General features: G+C 38.4%; 1 protein-coding gene across 7 annotated transcripts in view; it reads right to left on the minus strand.

Annotated features, from left to right (window-relative positions):
- The window catches only part of PAK5 (p21 (RAC1) activated kinase 5), a 301,707-nt gene that overhangs the window by 162,852 nt on the left and 111,793 nt on the right, over positions 1 to 27,062 (minus strand). For 5 of the 7 annotated variants that reach the window (NM_177990.4, NM_020341.5, XM_017027960.2 and 2 more), the window contains one exon: positions 11,065 to 11,214. The gene's annotated coding sequence lies outside the window, so the exon portion shown is untranslated. Of the gene's footprint in view, positions 1 to 11,064; positions 11,215 to 19,799; positions 19,855 to 25,995; positions 26,137 to 27,062 lie in introns of those variants that run through there. The other 2 variants (XM_017027961.2, XM_017027965.2) reach the window with 2 other exon arrangements.

Below are 27,062 nucleotides of genomic sequence, written 5' to 3' on the forward strand. Positions count from 1 at the left end.
GACAACATAGTGAGAACTAGTCTCTACAAAAATAAAAGAATTAGCTGGACGTGATGGAAAGCACCTGTGGTCCCAGATACTAGGGAGTCAGAGATGAGGGGATTGCTTGAGCCTGGAAGGTTGAGGCTGCAGTGAGCTGTGACTGTGCCACTGCACTCCAGCCTGGGTGACAGAGTGAGACTCTATCTCAAAACAAAAGTGTGTTCTTATTATTGCACAGCATTCCACTGAATGAATAAACCAAGATTTCTCATTCTTCTGTTGTTGAACTTCTGGCTTGTTTCCAGTTTTGTGTTACTTTGAATAGATCCATCATGCACTAGTTTTCCTTGGGTATACACTTAGGGGGGCTATTGCTGGATCATAGTATAGGCTTATATGTAGCTTTAGATGATAAAGTATCCACTAGGCTGTTATACCAGGGAGAAGAAAATCCCAAGCAATAAAAGAAGCAATCAAAAGCAAAAATACCTTAAGACAGAAAAGTCATTTTCCTTGACACAAAATAATCCAATTGCCAGTGCAGATAGGATTTGCATTTTGAAACTCATCCATCTCAAGCTACATGCTGCATATTTGAACTTGTCTGCAGGCTAGATTCAGCACATAGGGCGCCCCAAACATGTTTTGTTCCCCCAGAAAATCAGGTCACTTGTTGTTTGCATATTTTTGTTTTTTAATAAAGCAATGTTTAAAAATTAGGAGGTTTTATATTAGAAAACTCTAGCTTTCAAGCTTCCTTTAAAAAACTGGAATATCTGGCCCACATTCCCATAGAGCAATGATAGATTGGAGATAGGTAGGAGCCATTGCATTTACACAGGCCTACGTTTCCCTCTTTAAAAAGTTCTCACCCCCTGCCTACTTTGCCTTACACCGTGTGGTCTCCACAGGCATGAGAACCCTGCTCCGCCCTTTGACGAGTCAAGCAAAGTCATTCACATTTCTCTCTATATATATAGAGATAGCAGTTCCAAAAATGAAAGTGTTCTGAACTGTTAAAAGTTTGTCTTTGTGCATGTCAAACTTTGAAACGTGTGAAAATATTCCTGAAATGTACCACTTACTATCATGTTTCTAAAAAATGACTAAATAAGAGGGACAGCTCAGTACATGTTGAATGTGAGCGTTCCATAAATAAGGAATGTGTGGAGAGGGGACCAGCTGAGCTTGCCTCTGACTAGAGAAACGTCACTCAGGATCTATGCCCACAGGCCCAGTCTTCTGATCAATACCTGTTAACCATGTGAAAAAGATACTGCACAAGAGATAAGAATACCCCTCTGATTCATTCAATTAAAGACTTCCTGGACCAAACTCAATGCCATTATAATTGGTGCACTGGGCAGTTGCTAATTGCTCTAAGTCATTTTCAGGCAAGTAGAGAGACAAAGTTATTTCATTTTTGGTAGTATGCAGTCTAGGTAATTTAAAGGATCCCTATGCTAAAATGCAAATATATCCTGGATACATTTATAAAAAGGTCAATTTTGATGGCCTGGTATGGTAGCTCATGTCTGTAATCCCAACACTTTGGGAGGCTGAGGCAGGAGGATCACTTAAGCTCAGGAGTTCCAGAGCAGCCAGGGCAACATAGCAAGACCTCGTCTGTACTAAAAATATAAAAAATTAGTCAGGTGTGGTGGCCTGCACCTGTAGTCCCAGCTACTTGGGAGGTTGAGATAGGAGGACTGCTTGAGCCCAGGAGCTTGAAGCTGCTGTAAGCCATGACTGTATCACTGCACTCCAGCCTGCACAACAGAGAGACCCTGTCTCAAAAAAAATTTAAAAAGAAGTAATAAGTTTTGCTAGGCTCAGTAGTTAGTAAATGAAATATCCGAGCTTCCCTCCACCTTTGCCCTCAAAAATAAATGACAGAGAAATGACACCAGAGAAATGATTTAGGAATTAAACTAATGAAAATGACTGGGTAGCTCTAAAGGAATATGATGATAACAACACTGCTCTAAAGACAAAGCCTAGGCCCTGGGCAATGGGAGGCAGAGCAGCCAAGCCTGAGAGTCAGTCCCTAGCGTGGAATCCCAGAAGACAGCCAATGTTTCTGACTCCTAGAGAACACAAAGCAATACTCTCCATGGGAAAACATCCCCAGTAGAGGCCCTAAGGATTCCTGCATGCTTGCATCAATACTCAAATATTACCCATGACCTGAGGAGCTTTGGTCACCCAGAGCCCCAGATGACCAAATAACAATCAACTGGTTTACTGTACCGATTGTACATCATGTATTAGAATTAGCAGGTAGATATGCAATCACGATGTGTAAAATGTACAAAAAATTAAAAACGGAATAAACATGAAACATGAACATGAGCTGACTGCCATGGTTCCTTTGCCATCTCTGAACTGACTTAGATGTGGAAACCTATAAAGGGCCCGTGATATTCCATGGTTTATAACCCTTCAGTTGTTCTCCCCTGTTATCCAAACTGCAGATCTATTAGCTGCCCAGTTATTTTGTCCCAAAGATTTCCAGGATCTCTTAGCCACTGTTAGATCCCTGTGGCTCAAGGCACCCTGACTGCCACTTTAATTTTGCTATGCATTATAGTAGTTAAGGCCACCTGACCTCTAACACTAAGCACTGCTACTTAGCCTCTGTTGTTCTGGGCCTCATGATCCCAGCAATATTAGGAAGATTAACTCCTGGACAGCTTCTTCAAATGTCAATCCCAGCCCATAGATGGCAGCCTTTACAGACCACCTTCTCAAAGGTGTCAGCACTCCTTTTCAGGATCCCTTATTGTCTTTGTGAAGGGAGTGTCCTCTGGGCCTTCTTAGTTAGAAATAGTCAAGTGATAGATTGTACCTAAAACCTTTTTAACATGCATTCTAACATCCCTCCTCTCTGAGCCGTCAGACCCTTTATTGAGACTGTCAAAGAACTTGTGGCATTTCCTCATTTGCTGTAGGCCATCAGAACATACAGGATTTGAAGAACCACCCCAGAAAACTATCGGGATCAGCTCCAAGTGTCCTTGACAAACAACTGAATCTTGACTTATGAGTGAGTGTCTCTATATCAATGAATACCCTCTGATCTAGCATTATGTTGTATGGTGAATGTACCTGATAACAACTACTTAAGCATATGCTAAGAATGACCCTGTATGGTGCACCTGAATGCAGTTGGGAATTCCGAGCTAGGGAATCCAGGAGTGGCCAACCCAGAGAGCTATTCCTTTTCTATGAGGAACATCTGGGCCCCATCCTGTCATGTGGAATGTGGGCTGTGCAGGGGATTGAGGCCCTGTGTTTTGGGTTAAAAGGTTGCCAGGTGGAAGTTATTGGGGGAGGGTGCTAAGTGAAAATGCTACATAAACTGTATGCTTTTTGCAAGTGTTGTGGTTCTCCGGTCTAGCTCACCACCACTGGACTCTCTCCCCTGTATGTAAGACCTTCATGAGACCCAATGTCTTGTTTCTGGCTCTGGGTCTCTTCTTCTGCCTCTTGAACTTGGTGCCATCCCCAGTGAAGTCAATAAGAGTTCAGCACAACATATATCCCCCCCTCCACTCTAATACAAGGTCCACTCCCGGGTGGGTTTCAAGGTACTTCAATTGTTCAGTGGATAGGCTATTTCCCCCTGGAGAGGGCTGATACTTCTCTGCTGAGTCTACACCCTAGTTATCAGCATGGAGGCAATGAGCAGTGGCAGAGAAAGATCTTAAGACATGCAAGAATTATCTCATAAGGCACCTGCTTCAGGTGAGATTCCTACATAACTGTTGGGCAAGGAAAGCTGTTCTTCTCTGTCAGAAAAAGAAGGATGACGCCTGTCTTCCAGGGTGGTTTAAGGGAACTTAGAAGTTTAAGGTCCTCAAGCTCATCCATCCAAATGAACTCATCCCACGTCTCCTTATTCCGAACATGGCCCTGAGTTTGAAACAGAAGATTTTACAAAGCTGTGTATCCTGTCTCCTTGGCAGCCCTACCAGCCTTATAGTCAGATCCTGGGCCTGTGTTACAACACAGTCTGCCCTGCAGTGACCAGAGATTAGTCTCCTTTAAAGTAGCCATAGATGATGTCCTCTGGCTTTCAGAGCATGCCTTAAGTTGGCAATGAACCATCCTCAGCTTAACATTTTCTTTCCGCAGGTCAAAAGTAGCCATCTACTTCACAATCTGCATAATTATCAGTGCTCTAATAGCCACTTTGTGTTGCAGCTAGTAGGCCTCCTAACACCTGACCTTCCACTTAAGCCATTTCCCAATTTACTGCAGATGAGAGCTTAAGTAATTGTAATGCTGCTGCCTGCCTGCCAGGGTTTATTTTTATCCCAATTTACCACTAAATATATGATCCCTATTGCTTTCAGACAGGTCAGTAATCAAATTCCAAAATCCTATCTGTAGGGTATCTTGTCTGCAACTACTTGTTTTAGTTCAGTTTCCCTAGGACACTGAACCTGAGACATGCACTAAGCGCTGAGGTTTTAATTGGAATATGAAATCCAAAGGTGTGAAAGAGAAGAGATAGGAAATGAAGCAGGGAAGGGTGAGCAGCAAGACAAAGTGAGACGTTACTGCTGTGACCACTGCATTACCATGAAGAAATACAGCCAGTGGTCCAGCAAAGCATCTGCTATGTGACACGCAACACCTCTAAACATGCTGGACAGAGACATGCTGTATAGGCCTTGAGAGAGAGAGATCGTCAGAGAGAGAAATGGAAATGGAATTTACCTGCCCTGCTACCTTCTCTTTCCCACAGGAGCAAGACGCTCTCAACCAGGTACAATCTTGTTCCCTGGGGAAACATTTGGCAAGAGGTAGTTTTATGTCTAGAGGCATTTTTTATTTTCATTACTTGGGGGTGCTATTGGCACCTAGTGGGTAAAGGCCAAGCGTGCTGCTAAATGTGCTGCAAGGCACAGGACAGTATCCCATGGGAATTATGCAGTCCAAAATGCCATCACTGCTGCTGTTGAGAGACCCTAACCTAAGTACTGGAAAAATCAAGAAAATCTGAAGAGATAAATGAGATGTGTCTAATTAAAAAAAAAATGGAAAAAAGATGAAAGATATGGAAGGCATTTCACAGAACAGAACACACAAAGGGAAAACTAAACATGAAAAGATGCCAAACCTCATTAGTAACCAGGGAAAATCAAATTACAGCAAGATTCCATTTCACACTCAATTGATTGGCAAAAATTAAGATATCAAGAACACCAGGCATGAGGAGAATGGTGTTCAAAGGGAATAGTCATATACCACTTGTTGGGAGTGTAAATTGCTACCAATTCTGTGGGAAAGAGGTTAATATGTATTATGTTGTAAAATCGATCATATGTGTATTCAGGGTGACCACTTATACCATTTTGATCGAGACTGTCCTGGTTTTAGCACCAAAAATCTTGCATCCTGGAAAACTCCTCAGTTCTAGGCAAACCGAGATGGTTGGTTACCTATACATCTTATATCCTAGGAATCCACTTCTACATATACTTCCTTGAAACACTCTTGCACAGGCACCAGGAGAGATATAAAAAATGATCATACTACCATTTTTCATAATAGCAGATAATGGAAACAACAGAAATATCAATCTATAAAAGAACAGATAGATTGTGATATATTAACACAGTGTAGTATTACTTAGCTGTGAAAATGAACTACAAAAGTTTCCATTCTGCCTCTGAGGAGCTTGAGATGCTAATATTAGCCTGTTAAACTTCACAGTAAAATCTGCTGCACCTGGTGATTTGGGCGAGCTCCACACTTGCAACACAGACCCAGGAGTACAATGAAAGTGGCTAGGGAAAACTGTAGAATAGAGCTGCTATTCAATTGACACAACTCAGTCTCAGAGTGGAGAAATCCATGAATTGAAAATTACCATCTCACATACATACTGCAGTGGAAACACACACATGCACAAATCTCTATATAAATATATCTCTAACATCAGCAGTCTTCACAGAGACTTGGCCTTGTGAGAATCTAGAGCCTCGGAATTTGCTTGTGACCATAAGTCAAACTCTTCATTCGTTTTCACAAAAACCTACTCACTATGCTTAGCACGCTTATAAAAGTTGTCCCATAGAAAGAGTTTCTATCCTGCAATCTGCATCATCACAATAGCTCCCTGAAGCCACAAACACAGTCACATGCTGAAAAGTTATTTCCTTCAGGTCTGCTTTCAACCACATTGTTTTCTTCAATCACTTACAAAGGTATTTCCTCCTTCCTTTCTTGTTGAAATAAATACACATTCTACAAACTCTTTTTTTTTTTTTTTTTCTTTTTAAGACAGGGTGTGTTGCTCTGTTTCACAGGCTAGAGTGCAGCAGTGCAATCCTGGCTCACTGAAACCTCTGCCTCCCAGGCTCAAGTGATCCTCCCACCTCAGCCTCCCCAGTAGCTGGAACCACAGGTGCATGCCACCATTCCTGGCTAATTTTTGTTTTTTCTTTTTTTTTTTTGCTGTTGTTGTTTGTTTTGTAGAGATGGGGTTTCGCCATGTTGCCCAGGCTGATCTCGAACTCTTGAGCTCAAGCAATCCACCTGCTTCAGCCTCCTAAAGTGCTGGGATTACAGGTGTCAGTCACCAAGCCCAACCTACAAATTTTTTTCTAAGAGATAATCTTAACAATTTTGGTAACCCTATTACCACACCTGACTGTCCAATCAACCATACATTCATCCATTGACCTAACTTTGTTCATCTTCCCATTTGTCTGTCACTTTTTCATAAACATATTATTCTGTCTGCAAATTAACTTTTATTTTCTTGAATTCTGGTACATTTTACATATTTCTTGTCTTTAATCCTCCTCTCTCTCCCTCACCATTCCCAAGTAACCTGACAGCATTATGAAACACTATATTCCTATGTCTTTAAATACATACTATCCTGCTGTCTTTTCTTTTCTGTTCTTTTCTTTCTTTTTTCTTTTCTTTTGAGATAGGGTCTTGCTCTGTTGTCTAGCCTGGAGTGCAGTGGTATGATCACAGCCTATTTCCCAGGCTCAAGTGATCCTCCCACCTCAGCCTCCAAAGCAGCTGGGATCACAGGCAGTGCCACCATGCTCAGTTAATTTATTTTTTGTAGAGATAGCATCTATTTGCCCAGGCTGGTCTCAAACTCCTGGACCCAAGTGATCCTTCTACCTCAGCCTCTTAAAGTGCTGGGATTATAGGCATGGCCCCCAGCCCCTTCTTGTTTTAAATTCTCTTCCAATCTTATTTGGCTAGGGAATACCTACTTACTCTGTAATCTTTTATTCAGATGTTTTCTTCCCGGTAGATTGTTTGCAATCTAGTTCTTCTTTTTCCTTTATCAATGTCTTTTGCAATGTGACTTTGAACTCCTCTAACCAGGAGGTACAGTCTATTTCCACATCCCTTAAATCTGAGATATTCTGTGAATTTCTTTGATGTATATGTTGTAGAAGTGATTGTTCTGAGGCCAGGTCTTAAGCAGCCGTGCATCCTTACACTTATTCTCTTGAATAAGTGATCCACATGGCTCAGTTGCCATAAATAAGTCTTGGCTAGCCTGCTGGAGAAGTGAGTTGCCCTAGCCACATCCAGTCAAGCACCAGACATGGGAGTGAAGCATCTGAGACTATTCAGCCCCAGCCAACCTGTCAGCAGACTACAGAGCAAACCTAGCTAAGATCAGCCAAGCTTAGTCCAAATCAGTAGAAGTCCCCAACTCACCCACAGGCTCCTGATCAATAACACATGCTTATTATATTAAGTCACTGAGTTATGGGGCTATTTGTTATACAGCAACAAGTGATACTCTTTTTACTGATCCTGTTCAATAGCTACAACATACTTCTAGTTTAGCCCTTACAATACTACAGTCTTTTGGTCTTTCTCTTCCATAAACATAGAACTCCTTGGGAACAGGAGCAATTTTTGTTTTGTATCTCAGAATCTAAATAGTGCCTGCTGACTTTTTAATAGATGAGTGTCAGAAAAATGTCAATGATTAATTAGTTAATTAAGGATTACACTGTTGCCTAAGCCAAGGGACCCTTTTGGAGGCAGACAAACTCGGGTTTGAATCTCAACTGTATTTCCTATGTTACTTCAGATAATTTGGTTAACCTTGATGAGTCTTGTGTGGTCATCTCTAAATTAAAGACCGGAATAACATACATTCTGCAAGATTGTGGTGATTATATATATATAATCATGTATAAATATCTCCCACCTGACAGAGGGGATATCCAACATATAAGAATTAAATCATAAAATGCATGTAAAGCATTTAATATAGGACTTGGCTTCTAGTTGCTCAATAAATGATAGCTCTATTCATATGATCATGATCATCACCATCATCTTTGTTGTCACTTCTTGTAGCAGAAACTGTAGGTGCTCTATCCTCATCTCATTGGCAGTTATCATCATTGTGCAAGTTGACCTGATGGTGGCTTTCAAAAGCAAACATCTGGGACTCTGCCTGAGGACTTCCTCTGGCTGCTGGAGTTTTCTTGGTCTACATGTATGGCACGTTACAAATACCAGGGAGTCGACACTCCACACCTCCACCTAAGGGAGCAGCCCTTAGTCGAGACATATGGGAGAAGATAGCTAAATACCCTAATTTCCATGCCCTTGATTGGGATAAATCCAAGTTATGTTCTATGCTGTATCCCAAAGTTACCTAATGTGATTGTACCCCTCTTGATCACAGAAACAATAAGGCACCTTTTCTGTCTTCCTTCCTTCCTCTGCTCACATCCACACTACCCTACAAACGTATGCTGGCATCACCTCTGAATAAACACCACTCCATTTTTTTTGTTTCACTCTGCTTCTGGGGAAATCAACCTAAGGCACCATTACTCTTTCTAGTTCATGTTAGTCTTGTTGCTTCAGAATCCCATCATTTCTTAAGGAACTTTGACTTCCATTTGAAAGGCCTAGCCTTTTAATGATCTCTCCAGCTAATCAAAGAGTTTTATCTAGTCCAGTGGATGACAAGACTAATCACAGAATGGCGTATGTCATTTTTAGGTCTTCTTTGTTTTCATCCTGACTCATTTCTCTAAGTATATGAGGAAAGGGTTAACTTGTGCACTGGTAGCTCTTTGCTTATGTTGATGGGCACCTGGAAACATGGTATTGATTTTGGCCATGTCAGAGGTGAAATGTACTAGCTAGTGATTTATAAGGTGCTGTGAAAAGTCTAAAACCCCACCAGCATCCTGTACCAGCTTGTCCATGCTGTTTATCAAAATTGTACTGATTGATGGTTTGCACCTGTTTACTTCTTAACAAAGCTTGCTTTTAGCTACCTGAGCTGTGTGGTACAAAATACCCCTCAGTAAGCTTGAGCCTTGGCCCTCCTGTGAACTTGTAGAGTCTCATGTGACTTTTTAATTATCCAGCACTGTATAATTGCTGCACTGGGTCTGTTTTCTAACGACAAAAAGCTTTACAGAAGGATCTGGGGTGGAGGAAGGAAGAATTCCTACACCATACAAGTTTAGAACAATTTCAGACAGTTATGAATATTGGAAAGCAAGCTGCACTTTGCTGAGATCTTAAAATATCGTTCAGTTGAGCTATCATGAAAAACTCTTCTGAGCACAGACTTGAGGGTTGTCCACCCTCCAACAGTAGCTGTTGGCTTCTTGCAAATTTGGACCTACAAGGTCATTGCATACATTTCTTTTCCTCTCTTCCCTACCCTATGGACATTGCACAATGGTTACATAATACAAGATGTGAAACCCTCACTGCACAGAGGATAAGTTTCTCTGGTAACCATTGCTTGAATCCATATATTCTCATCTTTTTAAAGCACCAATTTGAAATTGGATTTTAATTTTCCCTTCAACATTCCATCTATGAATAACCCAGTATAAAAGTTTTAGTGTTGAAGTTATGCTTGACTAAGTCACTAGTCCTTAAAAAACTCTTGTTTCTCATCTAGAAGGACACCCTTCCCACAGGCTGCCTCTCAGTGGCTTGAGCAACAATGTTCTTAGAAGTCAGGAGCCATCCAGGAAGCAGGAGAAGAGCTACAAACACATCTGGAATGCTCAAGTCTCCGAGTGTTACAAGATAACCCACCTAGAATATGAGATTTTGGGCAGAATTTTCTTTATTTTCACAATTTGACATCAACACCCTCTAAGTTTCAGAAGCAGGCCACAGACATATTACATCATAAGCAGTTCTTTGAAATAGTAGAATAAATTACAATCTGACCATTGTGTATTAAAACGCAAATAGACAGCATACCCTGCATATGGAAATTAGAATTATATTTGGAGCTTCATAAGGAGCTTGGGTGGTCATCTATGCCAAAATATCTTTCAAATTCATCCATCTCCAATGCCACATCCCTAAGCCAAGTCAGCAGTATCTTTTATGTGGGTAAGAGCACCCTGCGTGGGGGGTAGTACCCATGTGTGGGGGGTAGTAGCGACCCCCACACATACTAATTGGCTATAATAAAGAAGAATGGCCTTTAAAAAATATAAATTCTTTCATTCACCTGCTAATGACTTTCCAATAACTTCCATCTTTATTAAAATAAAATGAAGACACTTTCCCACATCTAAACAGCTCTCCAGCTTCATCTTCTACATCCTGCTTCTCCAAAGCCCCTCTCTTAAAGTGATACTGGCCTGGTTTCCAAACCTTGAATATATCCACATGGATCCTGGTTCATGACACATGGACGGTATGATCTTCAAACCCTACTTGGCTGGATTTTTTTCTATCACTCAGTTCTCAGCTCAAACTCTCTAAGTGTTCTGCTCTGACACTCAAACTAAAGTAGTCCCTCATCCCTTATCTCGTTAACCTGCTTATCGTGTTCATAAACATTATCAATGGTTGTCAGTTTCCTTTTCATTTATTTACTTACACTTTCCACTAGAATGTCAGCTTCTGTAAGGCCATAAGCTTGCCCTTTTAGTTTCCAGTGCCTACAACAGTTTGCAGGCCTATAGCAGTCACCCAGAGAATATTGTTGAATCAATACATGCATGTTTCTGTGTTTTTAGTATTGTTTAATTTAAAATACATTTTAAAAGGACAAAACCATAAGGTAATTTATTCCCCTACCTTTATATGATGGCTGTGGATGAATTAAAGACTCCAGAGGAGTGTGGCTATTTCTATTCTGCAACTTTTCGCTGGTGCTTGTCAGTCTTCTTCATTTTTCCTCAGTGTTCATTTTAGCAAGAGGTGGAAGCATTTCACCACAGTGTATTTCTGTAACAATATAGTACCAAAATGACTCAGAACCCCACTAACATTATGCTGTGCTTAAAAATAAACATATAGCCACATTTACTTTACATTCTCCCACATGCAGTGCATTCTTTTTTACTGTTTCTATCATTTTCTCAGGCATGCAGCTACGGATCTGTATATTATTACCAGGACACCTCAGGTAGGATTAGACTCCTCTTAGTACCTTGGCTGCTTCTGTACCACAGCATTTTCTCCACTGTGAATAATTATTCTATTACAAATCCATCTCTCCAATAGATGGTGAACCTTGTGGGGCCAGGAACTGTGCCTTTGGTTCCTGAATCTCTGGGACCTAGCCCACTACCTGGTAATCGTACATTTTCAATACAGTCAATTCTTGATATTTGCAGTAGTTATGATTTATGAAGTCACCACAAACACTAAATTAGCAAATACCAAAGCACTGTTACTAGGAGAAATAGAGGGTTAGGTTTCCACAACTCTGTGGCTCCAATATTTTTGTCAAATAATCAATACATAACTTTGTTTTATGTGTGTCACTGTTTATACATATTGTTGATTTATTAAGATGGAACTCACAATCAACAGCACTGTAGCTTATGCCTCCACAAAGATTTTCTAACACACGTGTTTTCTCCATAAGGCACGTGACAGCCTATTGTGCTTAGGAACATGAGACAGCATGTCAGCCCTACACTATGGGGCCATTTCAAACCATGGAAACACCAACATTAAGCACAAAAATGTAAAAGATATGAGAAGGTGAATCTGTAAATATAAAATCACAAATAATGAGAATCAACTATATACATATTGGCTGAATCACAGTTATATGCGGATTATACAAATTCCCAACCTTGTTTATAGTTCAGCATATCCTTGCCATTTAAATGATTAAATAATAAATATTATAGATAGGGTAGAAAAGGACTACATACAGATTTTATATTCTTCATGAAAGACCCAGGAAATGAAAGCAAATATTATTTCTTATATTCTCTGCTGTCCTATTAAAAAGACAAATTCCAGCAATCTTATCAAAATATTAATAACATTCTTTGCAGAAATAGAAAAAGGAATCCTAAAATTCATGCAGAAACACAAAAGACTCCGAATAACTAAAGCAATGCTGAGCAGAAAGAATAAAACTGGAGGCATTAAAGTACTTGATTTCAGTTTATACTACAAAGCTATAGTAACCAAACCAACATGTTACTAGCATGAAAACAGGCATGCCGATGAATAGAACAGAATAAAGGTCACTGAAATAAATCCACGCACTTACAGGCAACTAATTTTGCCAAAGGCTCCAAGAACATACATTGAGGAAAGGACAGTCTGTTTAATAAATGATGCTAGGAAAACCTGATATACATATACAGAAGAATGAAATTAAACCCTTCTCTCTCACTATATGCAAAAATCAACTTAAAATTGATTAAAGACTTAAATGTAAAACCTAAACTATGAAACTACTAGAAGAAAACATTGAGAAAACATTACAAGACATTGGTCTAGGCAAAGATTTTTGGGGTAAGACCTCAAAAGAATAGGCAAAAAAACCAAAAGTAGACAAATGGGATTACATCAAGCTAAAAAACTTCTGAACAGCAAAGGAAACAATCGACAAAGTTAAGAGACAATCTACAGTATGAGAGAAAATATTTGCAAACCATCCATCTGACAAGAGGTTAATAACCAGGATATATTAGAAACTCAAACAACTCAATAGCAAATAATAATCCAATTAAAAATGGACAAAAGACCCAAATAGACATTTCTCAAAAGAAGACATACAAATGTCCAACAGGTGTTTGAAAAAATGCTCAACATCACTAATCATCAGGGAAATGCAAATCAAAACCACAATGAGATATTATCACACTCCAGTTAGAATGGCTATTATCAAAAAGAAAAAAAAATAACAAATGCTGGCAAGGATGCAGAGAGAGGGAAATACTTGTATGCTGTTGGTGGGAATGTAAAGTAATACAGCAATTACGGAAAACAGCATGGAGGTTTCTCAGAAAACTAAAAATAGAACTACCATACAATCCAGCAATCCCACTGCTGAGTATATATCAACAGAAAGGAAATCAATGTATTGAATAGATATCTCCACATCCATGTTTATTTCAGTGCTATTCATAATGGCCAAGATATGGAATCAACTTAAGTTTCCATCACTGAAAGAATAGATAAAGAAAATGTGGTATATGTATACAATCAAATACTATTCAGTCACAAAAAGAAATTAATTTCTGTCACTGGCAGCAATACGGATGGAATTGAAGGTTATTATGTTAAGTGAAACAAGCCAGGCAAAGAAAATGTTCTCACTCACACATGGGAGCTAAAAAAATGTAGACCTCACGGAGGTAGATGGTAGAATAATGGTTTCCAGAGACTGGAAAGGAAAGTGGGGAGCAAGAGAAATGAAGAGAAGTTGATTAATGAGTACAAAAATATAGTTAGATAGAAGGAATAAGTTCTAATATTTGGGAGTGCCATAGGAAAATTACACTTAACCGTAATTTACTGTATATTTCAAAATAACTAGAAGAGAAGAATTGTAATGTTCCCAACACAAAGAAAAGGTAAATGTTTGAGGTGATGGATATCTCAATTACCTTGACTTTATTTTCACATTGTATACATGTATCAAAACATCACATGTATCCCCAAAATAGGTACAATTATGACATATCTATAAAAAATGAAATCCCAGAGCCCGGGTATTTTCTTCTGCATGATATTAATTATTGCTCCTCCAATTTTCAGAGAAGTTCAAAGAAAATTTCCCTGAAAATAATTGTAGGTTAATAGTTCGCCTTGTCTATTATAGGTCAACCTAAATTCCTAGAAAATTTTTCCATTTTTCTCCTTGGATGAGATAAGAAATAACAGCTTTTATTTCATTATATGCACCAGTTATCTGCAGGTACAAAAGGTCCATACTTAGTTCCTTGTATTTTCTGTAAAAATGCAACTACTCTGTGAGAGGTACAATGGAGAGATCACACTTTACATGGCTATTTTCCAGTGCATTTGAAAAATGTTTAAGACCCCCTTAGAATATGAATTTATGTTTTAAAGGTGTTGTGAAGATTTTCCAATTAAGTTTACCTCTCAATATTTTAAAATGGTTACCCTTAACATTGATTTACTTGTACTTCATAGGAAGTAATTTGTTGCTAAAATTATCTTCTACTACAAGGCTATAGTAACCAAAACAGCATGGTACTGGTACCAAAACAGATATAGACCAATGGAACAGAACAGAACCCTCAGAAATAATACCACACAACTACAACCATCTGATCTTTGACAAACCTTACAAAAACAAGAAATGGGGAAAGGAGTCCCTATTTAATAAATGGTGCTGGGAAAACTGGCTAGGCATATGTAGAAAGCTGGAACTAGATCCCTTCCTTACACCTTATACAAAAATTAATTCAAGATGGATTAAGGACTTAAATGTTAGACCTAAAACCATAAAAACCCTAGAAGAAAACCTAGGCAATACCATTCAGGACATAGGCATGGGCAAGGACTTCATGTCTAAAACACCAAAAGCAATGGCAACAAAAGCCAAAATTGACAAATGGGGTCTAATTAAACTAAAGATCTTCTGCACAGCAAAAGAAACTACCATCAGAGTGAACAGGCAACCTACAGAATCGGAGAAAAATTTTGCAATCTACTCATTTGACAAAGGGCTAATATCCACAATCTACAAAGAACTCAAACAAATTTACAAGAAAAAAACAAACAACCCCATCAACAAGTGGGCAAAGGATATGAACAGACACTTCTCAAAAGAAGACATTTATGCAGCCAACAGACACATGAAAAAATGCTCATCATCACTGGCCATCAGAGAAATGCAAATCGAAACCACAATGAGATACCTTCTCACACCAGTTAGAATGGCGATCATTAAAAAGTCAGGAAACAACAGGTGCTGGAGAGGATGTGGAGAAATAGGAACACTTTTACACTGTTGGTGGGACTGTAAACTAGTGCAACCATTGTGGAAGTCAGTGTGGTGATTCCTCAGGGATCTAGAACTAGAAATACCATTTGACTCAGCCATCCCATTACTGGGTATATACCCAAAGGATTATAAATCATGCTGCTATAAAGACACATGCACACGTATGTTTATTGCGGCACTATTCACAATAGCAAAGACTTGGAACCAACTCAAATGTCCAACAATGATAGACAGAATTAAGAAAATGTGGCACATATACACCATGGAATACTATGCAGCCATAAAAAAGGATGAGTTCATGTCCTTTGTAGGGACATGGATGAAGCTGGAAACCATCATTCTCAGCAAACTATCACAAGGAGAAAAAACCAAACACCATATGTTCTCACTCATAGGTGGGAATTGAACAATGAGAACACTTGGACATAGGAAGGGGAACATCATACACCGGGGCCTGTTGAGGGGTTGGGGGAGGGGGGAGGGATAGCATTAGGAGATATACCTAATGTAAATGATGAGTTAATGGATGCAGTACACCAACATGGCACATGTATGCATATGTAACAAACCTGCACATTGTGCAGATGTACCCTAGAACTTAAAGTGTAATAAAAAATATGTACATAAAAATCAAAATCAAAGAAAGAACATGCAGTAGCTGAAAAAAAATATCTTCTCAAAAGCATACCCTAAAACTTAGAGTATAATAAAAAAAAAAAAATTAAAAAAAAAAAAAGCATGCTCTATGTTTTAAACTATTATTGCTAGGATCACTAGGACTTAGTAAAAAGCAATGCCTTACACAGGCAACAATAAATTCTAGAAGGACAGTTCTGACAGCTGCTTTTCAATTAGTTCAAAATAGGCTAAAATATAAGTAGATGTAATTTCTTTTCTGCATCTTTTGATACCCTATTCAAACAGTTCAGAGTATCAGCAGACAAGTCACCTGTCATGGAATACAGTTTTAAAATTGATATAATCATGTGGGTCTACTGCATAATAATAAGATAATTCAATATATTTGACAGAAGTAATACTTTGATCCAGAAAAATAAAACTAAATGCATTTTGTAAATTTCTGTATTTTGTTAGCATCATTATATTACATTTTCTATATAATTAACCATTTTGAGTTTATTTTCTAAGGATTCGTACTACTTTTAATTTTCTATTTATGCTGCAAATAGCCAAATTAATCAAGTAAATATTAGATATCATAAAATTACTTTAAGACATTCTCAAATCATCACTAAAACTCTCCTCTCATATTTCTTTCTCTTAAAATATGCCATTAAGAAGACTTTACCCATATATCTCTGCTAAAGCCATATTACCATTACTGACTTTTAAAAAGCAATCTGGGGGCCAGGTGTGGTGGCTTACCCTGTAATCCTAGCATTTTGGAAGGCAGAGGCAAGCTGATCACTTGAGCTCATGAGTTTTGAGACCAGCCTGAGCAACATGGCGAAACCCCGTCTCCACAGAAAAATACAAAAATGAGCTGGGTGTGGTGGTGCAGGCCTGTAGCCCCAGCTACTTGGAAGGCTGGGGTATGGGGATGGCTTGAACCTGGGAGGTAGAGGTTGCAGTGAGCTGAGATCATGCCACCGTATTCCAGCCTGGGTGACGGAGCCAGAACTTATCTCAAAAAAAAAAAAAAGAAAGAAATCTGAATGCTGAATGTTTAGTAGACTATGTTCAGATAACAGCTATACCATTCTGAACATGTTGATAATGCATATTTTAACAAAAGGTACAGATGTCAATTAAATTTAGAATTTGCATTTCCAACCTTCAAGAGGAAGGAGTTGGCTTCGTATCCACAGACTGGCTCCACCTTTTACTAGCTGCACGATTTGAGGCAATTTATTATTCCCTGAGATTATTTACTCATCTGAAAGATGGAGATGAATACCATTTTCTATAAAATGGCCTATGCAGAGTACCTGGCCAATAATGAATAGTAAAAAAATTAGCGTGCATTTTTTACCAAGTACAAAACCATTCCAAGCAGCATTTTAGTCACCGAATTTAGCTCTTCAAGCCAAAAATCAGTGACCTGATATCTGCGAATAATTTGATAAAGAAACAAACAAGCAAACAAACAATCCTAAATGTCCTAGCTAAGCATAACTAAGTTTTCACATAAGTTTATGCCATTTCGTTTTGTTTTCTTGTTTTGTTTTGTTTTTGAGACCAAGGACCAAGTCTCATTCTGTTGCCCAGGCTGGAGTGCAGTGGCACCATCTTGGCTCATTGCAACCTCTGCCTCCCAGGTTCAAGTGATTCTCCTACCTCAGCCTCCCGAGTGGCTGGGATTACAGGTGCCCGCCACCATGACTGGCTAATTTTTGTATTTTTAGTAGAGACAGGGTTCCGCCATGTTGGCGAGGCTGGTCTCAAACTCCTGACCTCAGGTGATACACCCGCCTCGGCCTCCCAAAGTGCTGGCATTACAGGTGTGAGCCACAGCGCTCGGCCGCCATTTTGTACTTCATTTAAATAGATTCTCTGGACATTTTACTCCTATATTGGGGATGTTGGAAATCAGATGCTCATTCATGATATGCATTCAAAACATATAACAACTGCATTACAAATGGCACCTGACTCTGAGATATGAGTATACTATTAGGCACATTGGTAAGTGACCAATATCAATAATATATTCATATCTCAGAGTTAATGAGCCTTCTTCTGTTTTATATACCATAGAATTTTAGAGTTTAAAAACTCTAAAATTTAAACTTTAAACATTTTAAACTCTAAAATTCTATGGTATATAAAACGGAAGGAAGATTTACTATCAGCTCTACTAGTATAAACAGTCTCTGCATGCTTTTTTCCCCTCCTCACACTCAAGGATGGCAGCCCCTTATGCAAATACATTTCAAGGTAACTTAGAGACTGGAAGGGTTCCATCAGATCTGCAATTTAGAACGGCTGTTGTATTACTCACCCTTTCATCCACTTTTCCTTGTACCCAGAGATGCAATTTTGTGAGTAGCAGGTTTGATACATGGTCTGTGCCATTATGTTAGGAAAATAGCATTTTGTCCTCCCTTTATGGAGAATGGGCTCAAGACCTTGTCCTCATTAATATTGAGTTCTAGCCAAATAAACTCCAATGGGTTGCAAAATCATGAAAGATGCTAGATCCCATTAGATTAAAACCTTCCAACAACTCTGAGACATTAGATTAAGAGGAGAAAAATAATAAACTGAATTGAGAAAACTCAACATACAACATATTTTTTAACCTATTGTCTTTACTAGGATAGAACCTTTCCAAAAAAAATTAATATGGATCATCTTTCTTAGAAATATGTCTTCATCACTCTGCCAATTTTTCTTTGTGTATACTTTATAACACGGATAATTTTAACACTTTCAGTTAGATGCTGCATTCCTCATCCAGTAGGTGAACTCCAAGTACACAAAATCATTCCATTACCGGGTTTGACAGTGTAAAAGCCAGGCAGAAAACAAGCTGGCAGAGACAGTTTAATATAAACCTCCTCTGAGGATTTGAAAACAACATCACATTTGTTTCCTGCTCCTCATCTGCCCCCCTGTGATCTTTGTCTCTATACATGATAAAATATTTATAGCCAGAGCTCAGCATTTTTTCTTTCCCTTCACTGTTGGAATAAGGTATGTTCTGTGTCCAGAGGAGAAAGCAACATAATAGAAACTCTAAAAATTGAATAAGTAACTTTTGGTGCATAGAAAACCTAACCCACTCACAAATGGATTTTCTTTCATTCAAAACAAGAAAACTATGACATACGGGACTGCATTTTGGCAGAAATTATTTATGCATTTGTCCAGTGAAGGAAATCCTCTCTAGAGAAAATTCTCAGAGCATACAGAACAATATTCTGTTTGGGGATTTCTCCAAATACAGATTGAGCACTATTTTATTTTTCTTTTCAGGTAATAATAAAACTCAGTTTTTGAAAACATCTTCACCTTTTCCTACAGGAAAATATCTGGTTTGAGTTTCTGGCCTTTTTGAGACATTTCCTTTGAGACAATAGAAGAATTGAGTTTCTAGGACTGTGAACTATACTATTATCACATTACTGCTTTTTTTTCCCCATTTAGAGAGCAATTTATAATGTGTTGGCTTTTATTTTTGGAGTAACTCTTCTTTACACTGAAAAGCCAAGTGAACAATTATGTTTAGATATATTGATTTTCTGCTCCAATAGAAAAAGCACTTACAGCTTGTATTAACTAGATGACCCAGGTTCTAGCCCATTGTGTTTGCCTTGTAAACTTAATTGACTACATTGTTCTGCCTCTGGGCTTCCTCATCCTAAAACCAAGGTAATAACAGGGTGTACTTCCTCTATAACACCTACTTACACAATTTTCAGAGGATTAAATACAATGATGTATGTGTGAGAACTTTAGATACTGTAAGGTACTACACAACATTAGGTTTAGAAAAGCTATTTTAATTCCTGTGTTTAAGTTATATGGAAATTAACTTAAATTTAATCTGACACCTAAAATGGTAAAAGATAACAGTTTACAACTCCATTGTAATGTCTTTGGAGTGTGTGAATTCACTAACCTTCACTTCAATGAATCTGCACCTGTCCAAGCTGATTCTGCTGAGTTTAGATTTCCTAAGACAAAAGATGAGATGGGAGAAGAGTGGTGAGAGAGTTAGACAGAGATAAATGTGCTACTAGGAAGTGAGTTTTTCACCATCACTCTCCTTCTTTAAAACAGGGATTCTTAACTGGGGGTCGTAACTGTCCCTGAGCTCAATTAGATAGACTTCAAGGGTTCCATGAATCTGGATAGAAAAAAAGTTATTTTTATTTTTATTAGTCTTTAACAGTCAATAAATCCCAATAATACTGGAAGGAGCTATGACCAAAAAAACACAAACCCTTTCATATTACAAGTGTTGCAGATGCCTGGAAATATCATGTATACTTTGAATGCACAGCAGTTAGTAGACTTGCTGTTAGATCTTCTTATACTGCAAAATCAAGAAATATATATCACCATAACACACATTTATTTTATTTAATGTTTTGATAGCTCTGTATCAACATTATTGCCTTTTAAAAATAATCCTAGGTATTTTATTTTACACATTAAAAAATTATGTTGCCACTGTGATAATAGCAATTCCACTCCCAGGTATATACCCCAAAAAACTGAAAACAGGCACTGAACAGAAATGTAGTATAGGAATGTTCATAATGATACTATTCATAATAGCCAAAAGGTGTTGTAACAGCCAAATGACCATCAAGAGGTGATTGGATAAATAACATGCAGTATATCCAATCAGTCGGATGTTATTCAACAGAAAAAAGAATAAAGTACTCATACATGCTAGTGTGGATGAACCTCAAAAACATGTCAGGGGAAAGAAGGCAGGCACAAAAAGTCAAATATTTTATAAGTGTACTTATATGAACTATCCAGAATAGGTAGATCCACAGAGACAGACAGCAGATTTGTGGTTACCAGAGACTTGGGAACAGGAAAATGAGGAGTAACTGCTTAATGGGTACAGGGTTTTATTTTGGAGCAATGGAAATGTTTTGGAATTAGATAGAGGTGGTAGTTGCACAACTTTTTGAATGTACTAAATGTCACTAAGTTGTTCATTTTAAACGAGTTAATTGTTTCATAAATTTTATCTCGATAAATATGCAAAATAAAACATTTTGTAAAAATTGGTACCTGGTCTTCTGGAGACTGCCAAAGACGTCTCTCTGTGGCACAGCGAAGGATTAAACCCTGGATATAAAGGGTTTCCCACCATTATATGGGCTCCTCTTCCCGTGGCTCAATCGAAGGACTCGGGCTTGGCATCACTTAACAGTGATCCAGATATTCCTAGCATGCTGGAGTGCTCCCTGAAGGCTCCACAGCTATATAGGAGCAAGAATGTTGGCCAGGTGTGGTGGCTCACGCCTGTAATTTCAGCACTTTGGTAGGCCGAGGTGGGCGGATCAGCTGAGGTCAGGAGTTTGAGACCAGCCTGGCCAACATGGTGAAACCCCGTCTCTACTAAAAATACAAAAATAACTTAGCCCAAGTATGGTGGCTCGCACCTGTAATCTCAGCTACTCGGGAGGCTGAGGCAGGAAAATCGCTTGAACCCGGGAGGAGGAGGTTGCAGTGAGTTAAGAACGCACCACTGCACTCCTAGCCTGGGTGACAGAGCGAGACTCCATCTCAAAAAAAAAAAAAAAAAAAAAAAAAAAAAGAATGTAGCCAGTGAGCACAAAGCTTGCTATCAAAGCCATTCATAGTTTTTGTGTGTGTGTGTGTGTTTAATGTACTTCTAATATTAACTGGGAAATATAGTTCAGAAAATAGAGCATGACTAAAAGCTTTCCAGGTAAAGGTAATATTTAGCTATCACAAAAACTATACATTTAAAATGTCCAGAAGCAATAGACTTTAATATTTCAGTGGTAGGATTTTCCTGTGCTGTCACTTCTCCCATATATCATGTTTTGGAAATATTTTCATTCTAGCTGTAATGCTTCTAGAACTTTATTCCTTTAGGCTATTTTTTAAAATTCAAATATACTTTATAATATCCACTATTAACATGTACCATGAAGAAAGAAAAAGAGCTGGTCTAGAATGAGAGTGACAGAAAATTACTAGAGAAAGAGGTTAAGAAGTTCATTCGAAGGGAAACTTGAATGAACTGAGTGAGTGAGTGAGTGTTATAGACAACAGCAGGGTCAACAGTCATCCAGGCCAGGGAGTTAGCATGTACAAAATGTCATCCAGGCCAGGGAGTTAGCATGTACAAATGTCCTGAGGTTATCAATGTTTATAAATAACAGTGAAGACTTGTTTGGCTGAAGCAGAGTCAGTGAGAAAAGAGTGGTATAAAAACAAGGCAAGGCCGGGCGTCGTGGCTGACGCCTGTAATCACGTGTGATTACACCTCGTGTAATCACGAGGTCAGGAGATCGAGACCATCCTGGCTAACATGGTGAAACCCCGTCTCTACTAAAACTACAAAAAATTAGCTGGGCATGGTGGCGGGCGCCTGTAGTCCCAGCTACTCGGGAGGCTGAGGCAGGAGAATGGCATGAACCCGGGAGGCGGAGCTTGCAGTGAGCCGCGATCGCGCCACTGCACTCCAGCCTGGGGGGACAGAGCGAGACTCCGTCTCAAATAAATAAATAAATAAATTAATTTTTAAAAAGGCAAGGTAAGTAGCCAGTGACCAGACCACGCATGGCTTTTCAGGCTACAGTAAATATTTTGGATTTTATTGTAAGTCCCAATAGAATCCAATGGAAGATTTTTTTTTTTTTTAGAAGGCTTGCTCTATCGCCCAGGCTGGAGTGCAGCGGCGCCATCTCGACTCATTGCAACCTCCACCTCCCAGGCCCAACTGATTCTCTTGCCACAGCTTCCCGAGTAGCTGGGACTACAGGCGTGTGCCACCATGCCCAGCTAATTTTTGTATGTTTAGTGGAGACAGGGTTTCCCAGCCAGGCTGGTCTTGAACCCCTGACCTCAAGTGATCCTCCCCCCCTCATTCTCCCAAAGTGCTGGGATTACAGGTGTGAGCCACCGTGCCTGGTGTCTGTTGGAAGATTTTATTGGTCTTACAATAAAGTCCAATAAAACGAGGAAGCCATTGACGAGCGTGGAGCAGCGGGTGCATGATCTAACTTACATTTTAAAAGTTTCCTTGGAATTGGTGGAAACACTGCAGGAGGGAAAAACTGAAAGTGGGAATATTAGTTAAGAGGCTATCAAGTTTGCACAGGTGAAGAATGGCAGCGGGTTTGCACAAGGGTAGGAGCAGTAGTGGGAACAGTGAGACGTGGTTCAATTCTAGATGTATTTTGAAACTTTAGTTGACTTATTGATGGCTTTGAGGTGCAAGGGAAAGTATTTTGGCCTGAGCATCAAGATGGATAGGAGTTCTATTTACTGAACTGGAGAGAATCAGATTTAAATGTGTTGGTTAGAAAAACCAAGGGTTCAGTTCCAGATGCCATGATAGATTACAAAAATAAAATACGGCCTCAATTCTTCATCTTTCACTGTATAAGTGCTTTTTACCAGGTAACATTGTAGGTCACTCCCTCTCTGGCTCTAGGTTTAGCCATGTGATTTGATTTGCTCCATGGGACATTACTGACATCTCCACATTTTCAAATACTTGTGCATTTCGAACTGTTCTTGCATCTCTGCCATCATGATGAAATCTGTCCAGCTGGCAGGTGCAGAATGAGACACATAAGAAGAGAAGCCATGTGGCCCTGGTCACCCTGGGCAAAGGCAGCCTAGATTAGGGAACGGTCACCTGAGAAGTATGTGCAAATCCAGCCAAATCACCCGAGCTATCTAGTCCACCCACTGCAGTTGCCTGACGATGCATGAGCAAGCCCAGTCTAGATCAGCTGAACCTCACAAGTTTGTGAGCTAAATAAATGTATAAATAAATTTGTGGCTGCTTATTATGTAGCATTTTCATGGCAATAGAGACCTGACTCAGGATGTTTCCTTTTCACCCAAATATGAGTAATGCAATAGCACCTCATGTCAGCCAATCTTAGTCTGTGGGCAACAGAACACTGCCCGTCCATTCTAGATTGCTTGCGCATTACAAATGTAGCAGAAAATTTGTAACAGAAACTGAAGCATAAATGAATGACTAAACCACAAAATCGAGGTTATTTACTTCCACAAGCACATTCCAAAAAAGGCCCAGCTTGGCTGATCCAAAAAAATTTTTTTTAATTTGTAGTTTACGGAGATTTATTTATGTTTTTAGTACCAAAGTATGATATTTTTAAGAGTTATTGTCAAATTTGAGAAACTTCTCTCAAGTGTAAGTTTTCAAGGCACTCGTTTTCTTTGAATTGCCAACCTTCAGCTACTTATTTGTCATCAGTGTCCTCATTGACTTGGTTTTCGATATTCTCTTGCACATTAAGGAACAGAGGTGTATGTTGCATGAAGCCAATGAAGCCAAAAGCTCAAGGCCACTCACTTGTTCGTGGACATTATGGGCTTGGGAAAAGCCCTAGAAATATGTTCACATGGTCATATATCTTTACAAAATGTATCAAATAAGAATTTTTAACAATGACTTTCAGTATCACATTTCTTTCTAGGTGTTTCTTGGAGTTGGGGTAGCTATGGTTATTTGGGGGCTCCAGCTAAGAGGGAGGTTGTTGGCAATGCATTTGGTTTGTAATTAATGGGATATATGTATGTGTTTTGCACTCAATTTCCATTATAGTTCATCTTCGCTAGTCATTCCACTGTAGGAATGGCTTCCAGGAGTTCTCCAGCATCTCCATGTACTGACTCAACCGGCATCATAGCACAAAGATTCAGGATGAAAGAATGAAAAAGACCTAGTATTTGCTAGCACAGTAGCATAATTATAGTAAAAAAAAATTTTAATTGCATATGTTAAAATAACTAAGAGTATAACTGGATTGTTCGAAACACAAAGGATAAATGCTTGAGGTGATGGACATCCCATTTACCCTGATGTGATTATTACACATTGCATGCCTGTATCAAAATATCTGACATAACCCATAAATATATACACTAACTACATACCCACAAAAATTAAAAATTTAAAAAATTTTTAAAATAAAATGGAACACACACACACAAACAAACATGCAGGATGAGAGGGCATATTGCATATAACTGTGCCCTGCAACACTAGATGTATGTGCCTGGAGGAAGTCTGCCTTTTATAAAGCTTCATAAGCCCTGCAACATGGGTGCAACTATGTGCTGAGGATGCTACAAAGTATTTGCAAAAATTTACAGAAATATGGTTTAGAAAATTGTCAAGGTGGGAATATATCATTTAACTGCAATAAGGAAAGATGTTTTGAAGGTTATTATTAAAACAAGAGAGAAATTAAACTTTTCTGCTTTGATTGCATAAAAATAAGACTGTACCATTTTTGGTCATCTTTAAATTTATTTACGATGTAATGGAAGAAAAGCTAAGAAATAAATGAATGGAACATGAAAAAACAATTAAATGATTAAATCAATAAAAATTATTCTTATATCAAGAAGCCCCTTACGGCAAAAGAATTTTCAACACACACCAACAGCAACAATTTATTAGAAGGAAAATTTTGAATAGAAGTAATGTTTTGGTTCTTATTCGATAAATTTAATTAATGAAGAAAAGTGAATCATGAACATGGGGAAATATTTAAATTCTTACAGATTTGACACAAAATAGTAACAAGTATGGAGAGAACACAAACTCGTCGTAGTCAGAACAAGGAAGACATTGATGAGCAACTGGTGATGTATTTAATCAGTTTAAAGAGTATTAAAACTAGTCATTATATGAGTAAATTTTAAATGCACTGATATGTTATATTCAAGAAATGCAATAAAGATTTTCCAAAGTTTGATAATGCTAAAAAAAGTATGTGCCATTACAAATAACAAATTATGACTCCAAAAGGCATTTTTTAAAATTTCAGTAATAAGAAAAAAAATTAATTTGACATCCTAGAGGAAAGGCTGTGTTATATTTCTATTTTCTCTATAGAATGATGTTTCAAAATAATTTTTATATTTAAAGGTAGAGAGATAATCAAAACATTTACAGCCCATATTTGTAGGAGTCAAGGTATTATAGAGGTGGGGTGGGCAGTTTCTTAATAAAGGTACCTTGTCTCTCTGATTTTGTGATGTTTTCATTGTCAGCTTTTTAACTTGGTTATTTGTCATAAATAAGTTTCCCATTCTAAACAAATTCTCACCTAAGTTTGAATCCACAGACACAGCTTCCAAACTCATGTCTTTTTAGGCTTATGGATCCTGTTTGGTGGGCCATTGGCTACTTTTCTTGAATATGATTGCTCAGAAGTTTAAATTTAAGAAGTCAACTGAAATATATATAAAGGACAATCACAGTTCAATTGACTTAGAAACATCGCAGTCAAAAAGTAATAGCCTCAGCAGCTCTGTCTGTATTTGTGATGGCTTGCACACAGCGATTTAACTTCTGGAATTCATCTACCTTGGGTGTTGTGTTCAATAAACTGAAATCCTGATAAGAATAAGTGATTCTAAGTGAAAATGATGTTAACTAAATGCAGGTCAAAATTGAGTACAGGGATTTTTTTTAAGCAAATAAAAGTATAAATAGAACTTTGATTATATGGCTGAAGGGGAAAGGCACAAGGATTTTTCACCAAGTATTTAAAAGTATTAGTGACCAAAGGGGAGGGAGAACATTAGAACAAATACCTAATGCACGCAGGGCTTAAAACCTAGATGACGGGTTGATGGGTGCAGCAAACTACCATGGCACATGTATAGCTATGTAACAAACCTGCACATTCTGCACATGTATCTCAGAACTTAAAGTAAAAGAAAAAAAAGTATTAGCGACCAAAAAGGATGATCAACTATGTATGCTAGACACCAAAGAGGTGTGCTCTGGGATATGATTAATTCAACAGAATAGTAAAAGTGGAAGTTATGAGTTTGGAATGCCTGGTCCAAAGGCTTTGCCAATTAGAATCTTCATAATTTTTAAATCTAGTGCAGTTCCTGAAGTTGTATGGCCTTTGTTTTCTTTCTAGAAATCCTACCAATCTTAGCATTTGAATACAGGGAATATCAAACGTGTATACTTCATTTAACCTACTGTAAATGAGTCATACTTCAACATTTTTCTAATTGGCAAAAAAATACATTATTTTTTAAGAGGTAGGAAAACATAAATTATTTCTGTATTACTTTTGTAATGGCAAAGCTGTAGCAAATTAAATACTATCAAAAGTGTACTATACGGTAAAGGTTGCAAACTGATGACCCAAGG

Source organism: Homo sapiens, chromosome 20 (assembly GCF_000001405.40).
Source record: "Homo sapiens chromosome 20, GRCh38.p14 Primary Assembly".
In the NCBI taxonomy this organism is placed as follows: Eukaryota; Metazoa; Chordata; class Mammalia; order Primates; family Hominidae; genus Homo; species Homo sapiens.